At 42.6% G+C, this 16,536-nt stretch overlaps 1 protein-coding gene across 40 annotated transcripts in view, besides 3 other annotated features; it reads right to left on the bottom strand.

Moving 5' to 3' along the window:
• ARHGAP26 (Rho GTPase activating protein 26) overlaps positions 1-16,536 on the bottom strand; it is a 458,635-nt gene that overhangs the window by 194,311 nt on the left and 247,788 nt on the right. The gene's annotated exons all lie outside the window — the stretch shown is intronic.
• Positions 12,706-12,795: an enhancer, noted in NCBI's record as "active region_23324". NCBI's record gives its function as "activates an Ori minimal core promoter by ATAC-STARR-seq in GM12878 lymphoblastoid cells {active_cell/tissue: GM12878}" and the evidence as "EXISTENCE:reporter gene assay evidence [ECO:0000049][PMID:35858748]".
• Positions 14,476-14,685: an enhancer, noted in NCBI's record as "active region_23323". NCBI's record gives its function as "activates an Ori minimal core promoter by ATAC-STARR-seq in GM12878 lymphoblastoid cells {active_cell/tissue: GM12878}" and the evidence as "EXISTENCE:reporter gene assay evidence [ECO:0000049][PMID:35858748]".
• Positions 15,106-15,155: an enhancer, noted in NCBI's record as "active region_23322". NCBI's record gives its function as "activates an Ori minimal core promoter by ATAC-STARR-seq in GM12878 lymphoblastoid cells {active_cell/tissue: GM12878}" and the evidence as "EXISTENCE:reporter gene assay evidence [ECO:0000049][PMID:35858748]".

Genomic DNA, 16,536 nt, shown 5'->3' with positions numbered 1-16,536 from the left:
TTCAGCAATTTCTAGAGTATTTACAAAGCTGTGTATTAATCACTATTATCTAACTCCAGAACATTTTTGCCCTCCTCCCTACCCCAAAAACCCATACACATTAGCCATGTCTTCCCTTCCCCCAGCTGTGGGAAGAATTCCTTTTCTATGGATTTGCCTATTGTGAACACCTCACATAAATGGGAATCATACACGATGCGGTCTTTTATGTCTAGCTCCTTTTACTTAACATAATGTTTTCAAGCCCTAGCCATGTTGTAGCATCAGTACTTCACTTATTTTTATGGTTAAATAATATTCCACGGTCCAGATATATCACATTTTATTTATCCATTCATCGGCTGATAGATATTTGGGCCATTTCCACTTTTTGGCTGTTGTGAATAATGTTACTATGAACATCTGTGTACAAGTCTCTGTGTGAACTGGTATTTTCATTTCTTTTGAGTATACACCTAGGAGTGGCATCGCTGGGTCACAGAATGACACCGTGCTTAACTTTTTGAGGAATTGCCAAACTGTTTTCTAAGCAGCTGCACCAGTTTTCATTCCTACCCGCAATGTACGAGGGTTCCAATTTCTCCTAATCCTTGCCAACATTTGTTATTGTCTTTTTTATTATAGCCATCCTAGTGGGTGTCAAGAGGTATCTCATTGTGGTTTTGACTTGTATTTCCCTAATGACTAATAATGTTGGGAATCTTTTCATGTGCAGGGAGGATTTTCATTCCTTTATACAGTAGTCACAATAGAGCCTACTGGAAAGCATTTGTCAGACGGGGAATTACGTTTTGTGCTAAAGGAGTTTCCCAAAATGTTTATAACTACGATTCAATAGTCAGGTGAAGCCTTTTAGTTCTTCTTTTGAGAGGTGCTTAAGATCATCTTTTCATAGCAATGAGAATCAAAGAAGTCTGGGAGAGAAAAAATTGCCATTTTACACAGTGCTACGGGGAGCTGCAGACATTGATTCTGAACTAGGATGTTTCAAGAGTAGGCTTGTGAACATGGTCTTATTCTAGGCATTGACGAACTTCTGCCCTAGACAAAGGCTATTTCTTTACCCTCTGAACATCGATAAAAGTTTTGAAAAATTGAAAAGAACCTAGCATCTGACAGTGATGACCCCAGTGGTCAGAAGATACATGCATGTAAAGCCATCAGCCCAATTAGTGGACATAACCCTCTAGAGGCAAATCAGTCATTGAACCTTTTTTTGTGTGTGTGGCACTGTAGGAAGTGCATCCTTTTCTAGGTAAGTAATATTTACTGGAAAAGAATAAAATGGACGCTTCCAAATACATCCAGAAAATAATCAAAATTTTACCCACTACTACAATTACTTCTTTTGGTAAATGGCAAAGCAAAACCTCCACATTCAATCTGAGTAAATGTTCCTCCTTTGGTTTTCCCAGCGTTAGAGATTCTCCAATTTGTTTGAAACCAGCAAACTCCTTTTCTTGGAATTAAGTCTTACACAGATGTTACACATAAAGGTCTTACATATGACATGTGTAATCCAGTATTTCTCAGTTTATCTTAGTTGTCTAAGTTCAAATGGATACGATATTTACATATTGCAAAGTCAAACATTATGAGCTCAAGATAACTCTGTTAGCCTCTAATGTATTAAAATTGCATATTGATGATAATTATTTACAGCCTATAAACAGATAACACTGTGTTAAGAAATGGAATCTCTTTCAAACAACTGTTTCTCCAACAAGGAATTCAAGAAATACAGGTTATCAACCACTGCTCTAAACCTCTAAACTGGAACTAGTGTAAATTATCACATTGCCCACTGCCTGGGGACCCCCATCTCTCTTTGTCTCTTCTTTTTCACACACACACATGTGCATGCATGCACACACACAAAGAGCTTGATTTCCACTCTCATCAACTTGAGTTTCCTGCTGATTAGATTACTAATAATTAACAACGGTTTTATTATTTATCATGGACCAAGTACCATAATGTGATAGGGACTACAGTGCACACATAACCAGATCATTAGTCCTAATCTCTGCCCAGTAGGGATATAATCTAAGTTAATTGAGATCTCCTAGTCTGAAAAGCAAATTCCCACTAAAAGGTTTAGAACACTATCACCACCAAGCTGCGTTTGCTAACGACAGAAAAAGTCTGAGTGGCTCGCCAGATGGAGGCGGCTGTCCTTAATCCCCTCAAGCAGGTGATTCAGCTCTTTCACTGAGCCAAGGCTCAGAAAAGGTCAGGGATTTATTAGCAATTTCTGTATCCCTATAATCTCCAGCAATAATCTCTCATTAAATATCTACTAGGCTTGCATTAGTCCCTTAATTTGACTTGTGATGAGTTGTCGCAGGACCTGTGTCTCCCAGGGCCAACATCCACCATCCTGCAGTTGAGGCTTCGGCTGGTTTACTTCCCTCCCTCAGCCTCAGGTTCAGCTCTGCTCAGTGTACACACGAGGCAGCCCAAACAGTTGTCTCATCATGAATGCTGGCAGAGCTTGCACCAAATATCCAGGTTGGCCTCCCAGGTTAGAAATGTGCCATCCTCTTAACTTTCATTTCAACTTTTGAAGCCTTGTTGCTTTGTCTCCTTTCAGAGAAAGCAGCATGCTAGGGTAGCAAAGTCGATTTTCTCAAAGTTCTCTAGAGAACACGTGAACACAGGAGAGGTGGGTTTATGCTCAGTAACCTTGAAGAATCTTAGGGAAAACCACAGACGTGGGAAGAGGATGCCTTGGGCTATCATGCCTAGGATATGAACCCCGGGAGGCTGGAGGCAGGTTACATCCAGAGACTAGCTGTCTTACTGCAAAAGGATTAAAAGAACAACTCTAAGGTACAATCAAATGATTTTCTTATCTAAAAGGAGGAGGCTTGAATCGCTTGAACCCAAGAGGCAGAGACTGCAGTAAGCCGAGACTGCACCACTGCACTCCAGCCTGGGCAAGACTGTCTCAAAAAATAAAAATAAATAAAAGGAGGAGGTTGGTGGGCCAGGGAGACAGACATGGATTTTAGCATAACTGCCACTGCTATACAACCATAAGGTCAACGCCATGTCCTGAAGCTTCTGGGACCTCATCTGAGATACTTTTCACTGGCTCCTCCCAGCTATTAAAAAAAAAAAAAAAAGAGGTGTGTAGGTGGTCGGAAAATTATAACAAAATCACAAGTATCACCCTTGGCACCACTTCTTACCTCCCATTCCAAATTATCACCAAGTCCCTCAATTGTCTCTTCTAATGCCTCTCAATTTTGTCCAATTTCTTCATCATCATCATCACCATCCTGGTCCCTACCTCAATCATCTGTTGCCAGGATGACTGCATTAACCTCCTGGCTGGTCTTCTTATTCTTCTTGTTCCTGTCTGCCCTCTGCATTGCAGCCCCTATGGTCTTGACAAAATCAGAGCATATCACCTCCCTGCAGCACCTTGCTGCCCTTGGGAGAATAACCCCAATCCTTACTTGCTCACAAAGCTGTGTGTGACGGGGCCCTGCCTGGCCCTCCAGCTTCTTCAGGGGCCACTGTGCCAGCTCTGAGCACCTAGCCACACTGGCTGTCTTTCAAGAACATTCAACTAACCATGCTTTCTCCCCAGCACAGACTGTGGATTTCGCACGGGAGCCTTTGGCTCCCAACTCACATTACCCTCAAGTGTCCTTTCCTCAAGAAACTCACTCAGACGTTCCCACCTAGGTTAAAGCCCCCATTGTGCACTCAGATACAGGACCATCAACCTTTCTTTCAGACTATGATGCACCACTGCAAGTTTACACTGATATGTGTGATTCTGTGAAAAATGTCTACCAAACTAGAATACTTATTCATGAGGGCAATGGTCCAGGTATATTTACTTCACTGGCTACTACAGCTCTATCTTTCACCATCAACTATAGCAATGGATATGAATTGGAAGTGTGTGCATGCACGTGTCATTTTTCATTTTGGATACGTGAATAGGTAAATTAGTGAATGAATGGTAGAGAGAGTTGCCGAGGGGCAGTGTGTCAAAATGACCTTTCAATTTCAACTGATATAAACCCTCTGAGAGTAGATGAGTTCTTTTAACCTTTTGGTCCTCCACTTTCTCATTTTTTTTGTGATGATATAAAGGTTAAATAAAGAAATGAATAGGCTGATCTAACCACTTCCTTCCTTCCTGTATCAATACAGGCATGCCACCTAGCAGCGAAGCCCAAGAATGGGCCCAAGAAAAAGGAAGAACAAAAGTGGCACAAGCTAAGCCATGAAACATAGGAGACAAAAGCAAATTTAGGTTTTCCTGGACACTTTTAGACCTCCTGCATTTTGTCCATCAAGGCATTATCATCATTGAGCTGCATGTGGTGTGAAGCTGGGGCTGAGAGGAGGGCTTCTCCATATTACACTAACTCGGCCATCTAAATGAGGGTCAAGAGGGGCCTGAGGCCTGAGGGTCAAGAGAGCCCCTGGAAAACACAAGTATTCTCCGCTAGACCATCATGCTACCCGTGAGACCTGATTCCTCAGGCTCAAGAGCCCCTCTTCTGAAAATCACTGACCTGCAGTTGCTCAACTCCAACCTTCAGTATTCAGAAAACCAAGAAATTTGGCAAGAAGTGGCCAAATCGCCCAATTTGAATAGAAGAAAACTTTCCATACTATAAGTTGACTGATGGACACATATATATAGTCTATAAAAACAGCACACTAGGACATGCCCCCAAACGACCCCATGCCTGCATCCCTGGAATTCTAACCAAACCCTGGGGAGGGAAATCCTCATCCAAAGGAGAGGAGCTAATCTACTGAATTAGCCTCAACATGAACTAGAAAGGGTTACTGTCCCTAAAGCTGGTATTCAACAAGTTTTTCCTAGTCTGAATTTTTTCCCCAGGAAATTTAGTCAATTCTCCTTTGATTAAAAAGAAAAAAACAAACCAAACCTTTTTTGTGGGAGAAATGGAATTTGCTGGAAGCACTGTAGGTTATGCATAAAAACAAGAGGATTGAGGTTGAGCACCCTGGCTCTCAACTGTAATCTCAGCACTTTGGGAGGATGAGGCGAGAAGATCGCCTGAAGCCAGGGGTTTGAGACCAACCTGGGCAACATGGTGAAACCTCATCTCTACAAAAAGGTTAAAAAAAAATTTGCTGGGCATGGTGGTGTGAACCTGTGGCCCTAGCTACTCAAGAAGCTGAGGCAGGATGATGGCTTGAGCCCACGAGGTTGAGGTTACAATGGGCTATGATCATGCCACTGCACTGCAGCCTGAGCAACAGAGTGAGAGCCTGCCTCAAAAAAAAAAAAAAAAAAAAAAAAAAAAAACTGAGAAGTAAAGGATTTCTAACATGGATGGATGGATGGATACAGGAAATTGTCGAGTTGCTGTGAGCAGGCCACTTCAGGGGCATGTTCTCACCACAGAAATTTATGCAATTTTCCAATGTGATTTGCTCTTTATAGAGCCTGGTTGGCCTCCCTCATTCTGAATTTAATCAATTTCAACACCCTTAAAAGCCATTGAGAAAACCACCCACATTGAAATGAACATAAATTCCACCTGAAGAATAATTTCCAATTTTCACACACACAGAGGGAAGACTAGAAGGGCTTGCCTGTTTTCCCCTAATCATGTGAAGCCCCAGGGTTGCCAGGGCTCCCTGGGCTGTGGCCCCTGGAAAGCTGTCCTCATGATAGCAGCTCTCAGAAGCTTCAGTGGGGCCCAGGAAAGGTGGCCAACTGGTTCTTAATTATCTGGGTGTGCATTCTCTATTGTGGAGGTTACCCACAGCCAATTTTTAATCCCAGATCAGCACTCCAGGGACCCCCATGCACCATCCCTACACCAGACTATTCTCTGCCCCCTGGCTGGTATGTTCAGGGAATGTGAACTAACTTTAATATTAACTAAAGTCACACAGACAGAATTGTAGGTAGTGGAAACTGAATGAGCTATAAAGCCAGACAGACCTGGATTAGAACCCTGCCTCAGCTACCTCTGGCTGGATATGACCTTAGCTTCACCTTTTTGAGGCTCACCTTCCTCGCTTGTATAATGGGGATAACTCAACAGGATGCTACGAGGGTCAAATGAAATGTATAGCAACTGGGATTTACTTGGTATTCAATACATGATCATGACCAATATTACCTAGTATTACCAATATTAGAATGTTACTATATCCTAATATTTGAATGAAATCTTCCAGTTGATGAAATACTTTTCATATTCAAGTTCATGTTATCTTTATGATAACCCCATAGGGTAAGTCTTGCTACTCTTCTTACTCATAACTACTGTGTTTTCACACTAATGAGTGTAATGAGGGATAATACATTACAGTTTATAAAATAAATTAATAAACTATAGTTTATTTGATTTTCCCAATATCTCTGCTAAGTTTTTATGATGAGGAAAGCCAGACTCACGTTAAGTGGTAACAACAGCAATGATAACCGTGGCTAACACTTACTGAGCACAGACTACATTGCTCTGAGCTACACAGTTAGGTGCATCATTTTCTTATCATCATCATCATCATCATCATCATCCGTATTTTGTAGATAGGAAACCTACGCTCAGTCAGGTTAAGGAATTTCTGTAAGATTATAGCATCAGTGAGTAGTGGAACCAAGATTTTATTTAACTCAGTCTGACTCTTGGGCTCATCCTCTTCTACTCTTTGCTTTCTGCTAGAGACAGTCAGAAAGGAACTGGGGGCTGTGGATCAGGTTCTGTGGATCCTACCATTTCTATTCCAGTAGCGGCTCTCAACTCCAGTGAACAAGAGTGCACTTGTAGAAATGCAGATTCTGGGCCCTCTCCCGGCAATTATGCATCAGTACATGCGAGAACCCCACTTGGAAAAACACTGTACTATATACTAAGCAATTAAGATTATTACCACCAAAAACAAACAAAAATGACTTAATTTAGTCAATTGCCAGTATCTATACCACATTCCCTGCTGGACAACAACTATTTGCCAGTGCTATGCATCTTAATATGGAATGCTGGATTGTTCCACTTTGGCATATGGGATGATTCCAAGAGGTTCACAAACATTTCTCAGTTATACTTTTATTTTAATGAATATTAGAAATCTACTGATTTATCACACATAGCAAAATATATTTCTTTTTTAAATAAACTGAGGTAAAAAATGGATGAATTGGTTTAAAACCAGTAAGCAAATTAATAATAAAAGTAGTATATGTATATATTTAAAAAGTCAGCCAGGTGCAGTGGCTCATACCCAGAATCCCAGCACTTTGGGAGGCCGAGGCAGGTGGATCACTTGAGGTCAGGAATTCGAGACCAACCTGGCCAACATGATGAAATCCTGTCTCTACTAAAAAAAAAAAAAAAGAAAAAAAAATTAGCTAGGCATGGTGGCAGGTGCCTGTAATACCAGCTACTTGGGAGGCTGAGGCACGATAATCACTTGAACCAGGAAGGTAAAGGTAGCAGTGAGCCAAGATTGTACCACTGCATTCTAGCCTGGGTGACAGGGTAAGACTCCATCTCAAAAAAAAAAAAAACACAAAAAATCATGAAGGTGACAGAAATAATAAATTGGGGAGCTCAAGTCCTAATGTGTCCCCAAACATGCACTATGTTCAACCTGGCTGAAAGAATGAGATGGGAGAGGACCATATTCTACCTGTAAGATATTCTGTTCCAGTAACATCATCCTTGATCTTTGCTTTCTCTCACACCCTATATCCAATTCACACACCACATCCAATCCATTAACCAATCCTGTCACTAATAACTTAAAACCGTATCCAGAATCTAACTACTCTTCACCATATCCATTGCTAATACCTTGATCCAAGCTGCCATCATCCTTTGCCTGGACTGCCTGCAGCAGTCTCCCAGCTGCTTCAATTTTGCCCCCACCCCCCACCCCCACCCACCCCACTACGGTTTATTCCCCACCAGCAGCCAGAGTCATCTTTTAAAAACATACATCAGCTCATGTCATGCACCTGATCACAACTCTCCAGTGACTTCTCTTCACACTAAGAATGCAGTCTTATCTCCTGGCCCCACATGGTCTAGCCCCAGCCTACCTGACCACTCACCCCCAGGGCCTCCTCCCATCCGGGCACCACTGTTCTTCCTGATATTCCTAGAACACAAGTAGCTCACGTCACCTCAGGGCCTCTGCACATGTTGGTCACTCCATCAATAACACTCATCTACCCACTCCTGACACGCTTCCCTCCCTCCCTTTGTTCAGATTTCTTCTCAAATGTCACCTCTTTAGAGAGACCTTTCCTGCTCCAGGTATCTAAAATCACTCCCTTCTCCCTTATCCTCTATCCACCAGCCCTTATTTTTGCAGAATACTCATCTCTACCAGAAATTATACCTTTATCTACTTGCTTACTCTTTGTTGTCAATTTCTTTTCATTGTATATGCTCCATGAGAGCAGAGACAATCTGCCCTGTTCATGACTAATCTCAATAAATATGTCCTGAAAGAATAAATACAATCCATGTTTTCACCAGCTGAAAACACAAGGAGCCGACAGGCCAAAAGTCTCCACATTCCAGGAGCCTTGAATAGTGACAGGTGGCTGCATATATTGGTACCTTCTAGAGTTCAGGCCCCTGCAGTGGGAAGCATGAGACAAACAGGTTTGACAGAGATCTCATTCATACCCTGACCTCAAAGCAAGAATACTGCTAGTCAGACTTTTCTTCCCTAGCCTACCAGATACAAAGGCATCTATTTTTTTTTCATTGTTTCTTGAAAACAAACACACAGAAAAATAAGCTGAAAGAGACATAGAGTAAAGTAAAATAGGTAGCAGGAACAGAAACAAAAATCTGCCTGGATGGGAATAAACCTACCAGCTCTCAGCCACAGTCAGGGGAGGTTCTAAAGAGTGTTCCAATTCTTGGCAAAAGACAGGCATCCAGGGTGACAGCACGTAGGTTCTTGCACAGCACAGGCTGAGGACTATACATCTGCCTGGGATGGAAGGAGTGTTTCTTTGTGGGTTTCTACTTCTGCAATCTCCTAGTCCACCTTAAAATTCCAAATCAGAATAGCAGCAAAAGAGCAAGGCTTAATGCACACTGCAGTAACACTGACCAGCTTAATCAGGACCATTTGTCTCCTACATGGGGATCTGGACATTCTGAGAATGAATTACACAGTGGCCTCAATTCCCTTCTGCCTTAAGGCCCGGTGGTTTTGCACTGATTTCTCAACCGAAAGAGATCATCATCAGCTTTCTGAGGGTGGAAGTGTTTCAAACAGAGAACCAACTGCCTCTGCCCATCAAGGTCACTTTCCTGCCTTTACCTATCTGTCTTCTTACCTCGAAATGCTTTAAGAACAATTTGTTGGTCACAACAAACTCTGAGGCAGCGAAGGGCAGGGAAAGAGAGGGCATTCAGAATCAAAGGCCTAAGATTTGAGCCCTGGTGTCTCCACAAACTGCTTGTGTAAGCTGGGCATACTTCACCTCTCTGACCCATTCCCCTCACATATAAGATGCAGGTGTTGTGAAAATCAAATAAGGCAATGCCCGGAGGAACTTTAAAGAGACTGTACAGTGCCACGTTTTTATATAAACGGGCTCTGGCTTTGGATAATGATGACATTATTGGTAATAAGAATAAAGCGCAACATTTAATCATTGCCGATAATACCAGGCACCATTGAGCAAAGGATGTCCATCCTAATCTCATTTATTCTTCCAAAAAAACCAAAGATTTAATTATTAAAACTATTCCCACCTTCAGACAAAGAAACTGAGGCTTGGAGAAATTAATTTCTCAAAATCACACACTCAGTAATTCTTGAGGCTGGGATTTCAAACCACGTGTGGAATACTCCAGAGCTAACACTTCTAAGCACTACTCTACCCTCTGCTCAATCTTACATGCCGATTGTGAGCTGCAGGCTCTGACAACTCTGATCAGTGCAGGGAGTGACCAAGTTTGCCCTCAGAATGAAGTCTCAGTTTTCACATCTGTAAATGGGGTCAATAATAGTATCTAGCTCATAGGGTTCTTAGGAGGATCAAATGACATAACGTATATCAAGCAGTGAACATGTTGCCCACTCCCCAGTATGTACTCAATAAACATTAACCACAATAACTGGAAGCCTGTACTCGGTGGCAGTGGGGGAAATATTTTAGTCTCTGTCTCAATAACCCCTTGCACTGGGCTTTAGGGGTTAAAGATGTAGCCAGGGACCTGCTCACTGTCTCTTGGCTGAAGCCCAAACTGGGATGGCAACGGGTGGCTCACACCTGCTCAGGCTGCAGCCTGCTGTCAGTACAGAGCCCACATCACTGAGGGAAAGGGGAATATTAGGCCATGGCAGAGGCATACACTGGCTGCATCTGCCAGTCTAAAGCTAGCTGAGAGAGAGGGTAGATTTGTCAAGTGTCTTTTAGGACAAGCAGAAAGGCTTCTGATTATCCATGCAAGTCCAAGGAGTACCACCACCAGTCATAGCTTTGGGGGCCAGGGTCTCATCAAACAAAATAGCTGGGAACTCAAATAATAAAATATCTGCAAAAACAAGCTGTTCCTGCCCCTTCTTCTCTCTCCAGCCCCCTGCCCTCCGAGCCAGGGCTATTCTAGAGCTGGGGTATTACAGCTCAACTAAATGTAATTCAAGCTCAATGCACCACAGCAACTGTGTTGCACAGGCAACTCATAATGAAAAGTGAGGTGTAGAAAGTCAGCACCTAGGGAGAGCTAGAATTATACCACCTCGCCTGACTGCGGCTCAGAAGATGAAAGTGGTGGCCACGGAAACTGCATGCACAGGAGAGAGGAGAAAGGGGAAAGAAAAAGGGTGTGGGGAGGAGGGCAGGAAGGAACGCAGGCAAGGGAGGGAGGCAGAGTGTCTGTCCTCTATCAGCTCAGACCTGGCAGGCCTGGAGAGAAAGCTGGAGGGGATGCTGCACTCAGCTGACTGCCTCGTGGGCCAGTGCATAGGCGGCCAGGCCACTGTGCCCATTAATGCCTTCCACCCTTCTCAGGTTTAAAAGGGGAAATGTTCTATTTATAAGCCACCGACCAGCAGAGGCCTGGCAGCCTCTGGATGGTTCTGATCCCAAAAGGATCCTGGTTACCGGTGGCTGCCTCCTCCTGCCTCTCAACTGTGGGTGTTCTAACAGCAAAAGGCCAAAGGTGACTAGAAGCAAAAGAAAAACAAATCCTCTTTTCTGCCCTCTGCTGCTTTCATGAGACGGTGGATTTTTGGTAATGGCTGAAGGCTTTAGATGTCTTTTAAAAATAGTGGCCCAGGCGATCCCATCAAGGCTTTCCCTACAGTTTTCAAGCCTAAATCTCCTTTTCTGTTTTACAGATCAAGGGAGGCTGAGGAACAGAGATGAAGGAAATGTACAGTCAGAGGCACAACAATAGGAAACAGAGCAATGGTAATGATGTCCCTCCCCATCTCCTCTCCTGGTCCTCAATCTTGTCCTCATAAAACAAGGCAAACCTGAATAAAACGCCATCAGGGAGTTTGCTCTGAATGACGGCCTAAAGAAGGATGAGTGGATGTACAGAAACAACATATAAAGCATTATGTTGTGTTGCCAAATCCCTGTGGGAGAGTGGTGGGCCACACTAAGGGTCTGACCCTGGGGAAGCCAGTCAGTGAAATGCGTGACCCTTGTGCACCCAGCACTGTGCACAGGTGTTTGAGGAACCACTGAGGGCTCTAATGAGGTGGTGCACTAAGAAGGAATATGGGATGGCCCCTCAGCCACAAAGAACTAGAGGGGTTAGATGTTGGAGTCTGATGATGAAATTCCTTCCAGCCCCCATGGGTGGACCACATATGAACAGGATGGCAGAATGGATCAAAGATTTCAAGCATATGAAGTGTTGCAGGAAAAAAATGACCCTGGCAATGAGGCAGGCTAGGGTTTGAGTATGAGCTTCACTACTTCTCAACTGTGCTCCCTTGACCTCTTTAAGCCTGTGAGCTCCTTTGGAAACTCAGTTGCTGTGAACAGCATTTGTACAAATGGCAGCCCATCGTGTGACACTTTCATGCTCCCTCTCAAAACCTCATGCCATCCCATTTAGACTAATTTTAAAAACTTAGCCTTGTGTTAAGCCAAGGGTTAATAAACTACAGTCCCTGGGCCAAATTCACCATTGCCTGTTTTGTAAAACAAAGTTTTACTGGAAAACACCCACACCTGCTCATTTCCATATTGTCTGTGACTGCTTTCACACTACCATAGCGGAGTTGAATACTCCTATAAAAATAAAAATATTTACTATCTGGCCCTTTACTAAAAAAAGTGGACCCCTGTGCTAAGCAATAACATTTGTAAAATCAGGGGATTGGCCAGGCGCAGTGGCTCATGCCTGTAATCCCAACACTTTGGGAGGCCGAGGCAGGCGGATCACCTGAGGTCAGGAGTCCGAGACCAGCCTGGCCAACATGGTGAAACCCCATCTCTACTAAAAATAAAAAAAATTAGCCAGGTGTGGTAGCAGGCACCTGTAATCCCAGCTACTAGGGAGGTTGAGGCAGGAGAATCACCTGAGCCCAGGAGGCGGAGGTTGCAGTGAGCCGTGATCACACCACTGCACTCCAGCCTGGGTGACAGGGGTCTCAAAAAAATAAATGAAATAAAACAAAATAAAATCAGGGGATTTCAGAGAACTTATGTTCCCCCACAATACACATCAAAATAAATACAGAAGTCTAGATGGTAATTTAAAATATACTCTCTCAAATGACCTAGTGTACCACCAGTGGTGTGCACACCCCACTTTGAGAAATACAGTAACGAGGATTAAATGAATGAACACTCATAAAGCACCAAGACTGAGAAACAGTAGCAGGTTGTCTTCCTCCCTTCAAGAGCAGTGTTACCAATCCAGCTGGCTTTTCCTTTCCAGTGGGTTTTTCCTTTTGTTGTGGGAGTAACTGGCCTGGCCAGATGATAAGAGTAATAACCAAGAGTAATTAGGCACTTACCAACTAATGTGCAGATACTAATGTGCTGAACTTTCATTCTTACAATGAGTTTATGAAGCAGGGGTATTATTATCCCCATTTTACAGAAGAGGAAATGGAAGCTTAGAGAGGCGCACCACCTGTCCAAAGTTCTACACCCAGGATGCTATTCTACACCAGCCACACATTACTCCTCCATGCAAACCCTCTCTCTAATCCACGTGGCGGAATCTACCCAAAGAGAATGATCTGAGATACGTACAAAGGCTGATGTACAAGGCCAATAACTGATGAAATTAATAACTTTTGAAGCTATTATGAATAACATAGGCCAATGTTATTTGTAATACCAAAAACCTGGAAAGAGCATTAGTCTAACAATGATAAATGATTCAACAAATTAAGATATAGTCCAATGACAGAATATTAAACAACCATGACAGGTGATACTTCTAAACATTTCATGACATCAGAAAATGTCTGTAATTTTTAAAGCAGAATACAACAAGCATATTCAACATAATGCCAGTTAAATTAAAATTCATACTGACATTGACAAAATACATACAAGACATCATTTAAAAAAGGCAAGAAGGAAGTATCTCTGGGAATAATATTACCAATGATTTTTGACTGAATGTTTCAAAATCATTTTGCTGTATTTCTGTAATATTCTACAATGAGTTCATATTTCCTTCTTCAATCACTGCTCTTCTCCCCACCTCCCAGTGTGAATGACAAATTGGCAAACTGCAGTGGGTTCTTCAGCATTTTTATTCAAATATAAAGGATTCTTATAAAAGCACTAGATTAGGCCAGGTGCAGTGGCTCACGCCTGTAATCCCAGCACTTTGGGAGGCCGAGATGGGCGGATCATGAGGTCAGCAGATCGAGACCATCCTGGCTAACACGGTGAAACCCTGTCTCTACTAAAAACTACAAAAAAATTAGCCGGGCGTGAGGGCGGGTGCCTGTAGTCCCAGCTACTTGGGAGGCTGAGGCAGGAGAATGGCGTGAACCCGGGAGGGGGAGCTTGCAGTGAGCGGAGATCATGCCACTGCACTCCAGCCTGGGCAACAGAGCAAGACTCCATCTCAAAAAAAAAAAAAAAAAAAAAAAAGCACTAGAGCACTAGATTAAAAACAAACCACAAGGAAAGAAAGGACTAGGACTTGGATGCAAAGAGGAGGAAGTGTTATATTTTTTCTTCTTCTGGGGAGGAGAGAAGGGAGGAAATTTCCATTTTTCAAGTGTAGCTCACTCTCAAATCCATGAGCTCTGGGCATGTAGTCTGCACCCTGGGTACTTCTGTAGATGGTTTGAATATGACATACACCCACACGATGTAATTGGGCCATCTGTCTATTGTTCCCCTGTGGTCTGAACCTCCACAGCAGATCACATGAGCTTTAAAGGTAGAGACAGATGTGTGTTCTAGTTATGAGTGTCCTTACCTCTCGGTACTCATATATCTCAGTGCCACCTGCCCTTAAGAACTCCCAGAAGGCTGGGCGTGGTGGCTCATGCCTATAATCCCAGCACTTTGGGAGGCCAAGATGGAAGGATCACGTGAGGCCAGGAGTCCAAGAACTTCTAGAGGCATTCACTGAAGGAAGAGCTACAGGAAGCCTGGACTCCTGCAGTTTCATCCGGCACAAGATCCAGGTGGGAGTAACAGGAAAATGTTGAACAAGAGTGAGAAGTGGAGTGAACTACAAAATGGCATTCTGAAAAGCCAGATGGCCAGTGTTAAGCCAGGTCCTGACATGCATGAGAAGGCATGCCTGCAGCAACTTCAGCATATTCCTTTCAACATAACCCGATTAACCTATGGAATCTGAGTTAATACCCACATTGAGGAAAGTGGCACTATAAAGTCAAGATTAGGAGACTGAGCCCTCTCTGCCTCAATCTGTCAGACTTCAGCCTTCAAGCAGCTGGAGAAACAGTGGGAGGGCAGCATTCTTGTAAACAAGCTAATCTTTTTAGAGTTAAGTAGGCAGTGACATTTGTTATTTAAAACATCAAACTTGGAAAAGACCAACTCACACTGTAAGAGCCTGCCCTTCTCTTACTCCCTTGCACTGGACTGGTGTGTTCTCTCTGACAAGTTCTCGGCTTTCTAACCTTCCCTCAGGTGGGACGGCAGGACAATAGCAGCCTGAGCTGAGAACAGGCCTCTCATCCTGCTTCCAACCTGGACTCATTACAAAGAAAAATGAACCAATTCTCATAGTCTTTGGGGAGTAAATTTTATAACTCCCTAAAGATATTCCCTACCTTGTACCCAAAGGTAGGGAACAGCAAAAAGACAAAAAGACATCGAGAGATACAGCAAACGGGGCTGCAGCGGGTGAGATGGGAGAAATGGTTCTTGCCCAGGGAAGTCTTGTTCTTTGTAATAATGAAAGGGACGAATCAATGACAAGTATCAGATAACTAGGTGACTGACACTGGCAGTGACCACTTCCTCAAAAAAAAAAGCTTAAGAAGAAACAATATCATACTTTCTTCTTCTTTATTACCAATACTCCCTTTTTCCCCTTCCCTTCTCTACTAGGTAAGAGTTTGACAAATTAGAGAATCTGGTGTCACTGATATAGATTCCTGACATTCTAGAAGCAAATCCAGGAAGGGTCCCCATGGGTAGCAGGGCTGGCAAAATAAAATATTGGTTTTTAAATTTAGTATTTAGGGATTAACTTGACCAGGAGCACACACGATCTCTAGGCAGAAAAATAAAATCCTAATAAAAAACACTGGTGGTCTGAATAAATGGAAAGACATTCAAAACCCTTGGAAGACATGACTTAATATTACAAAGGTGTCAACTTTCTCCAAATAACCTGTATGATTCAATGCACTCGCAAAGAAAAATTTTATTTTAGGGGAAACTTCTTAAACTTATTATAGAATTTATACAGAAGGATAAAGACTCATAAATACCCAAGTCAAACCTCAAAAGGGAGAATAAATAGAGGAGACTTATATAACTAGATATTAAGAGTTGCCTCAAAGTTATTATTAAAAACAGAGAGGTATTGGGACAAAAACAGCTACACAAAAAACCTGAATAAAGGGCTCAGAGACAGAACTAAAATATGCAAACCTAAAATGCAAGAACACTGGCACTACAAATCAATCGAGGGAAGAATGGATAGCTTAGTAGATGTTGATAGGAAAACTAACTCTTCCCAAGGATAAAAATAAGAATGGATCTTCATGGAACATCTCATACAGTGGTGGAAATCAGCTAGATTAGAAACTTAAATGTGCAAGACACACTCATAAAGCCAATAAAAGAAAACATAGGTACACATCTTTGTGACATGGGTCATAAAGGCCTTCTCCAAAACACAACTTGAAAATCATAAACAAGAAAGCAAAAAAGAGATGATTTGAATATATAAAAGGGCTTTGAAGGATTTATAGTCAAAGAAGGATACCACGTATTAACAGACAGATGACAAGATGAGAACATATTTAAACTGGCTAAATCTAACAAGGGATTAGTATCTAGAATCAGTAGGAACTTTTTACATATCAAAAAGAAAAGATGGTAACTGAAATAGAAAAATGGGCAAAGGA

The sequence above is a fragment of the Homo sapiens genome, chromosome 5 (assembly GCF_000001405.40).
Source record: "Homo sapiens chromosome 5, GRCh38.p14 Primary Assembly".
Lineage (NCBI taxonomy): Eukaryota > Metazoa > Chordata > Mammalia > Primates > Hominidae > Homo > Homo sapiens.
The sequence above is the reverse complement of the archived record's forward strand: the minus strand, read 5'-3'. Positions and strand labels throughout refer to the sequence as shown.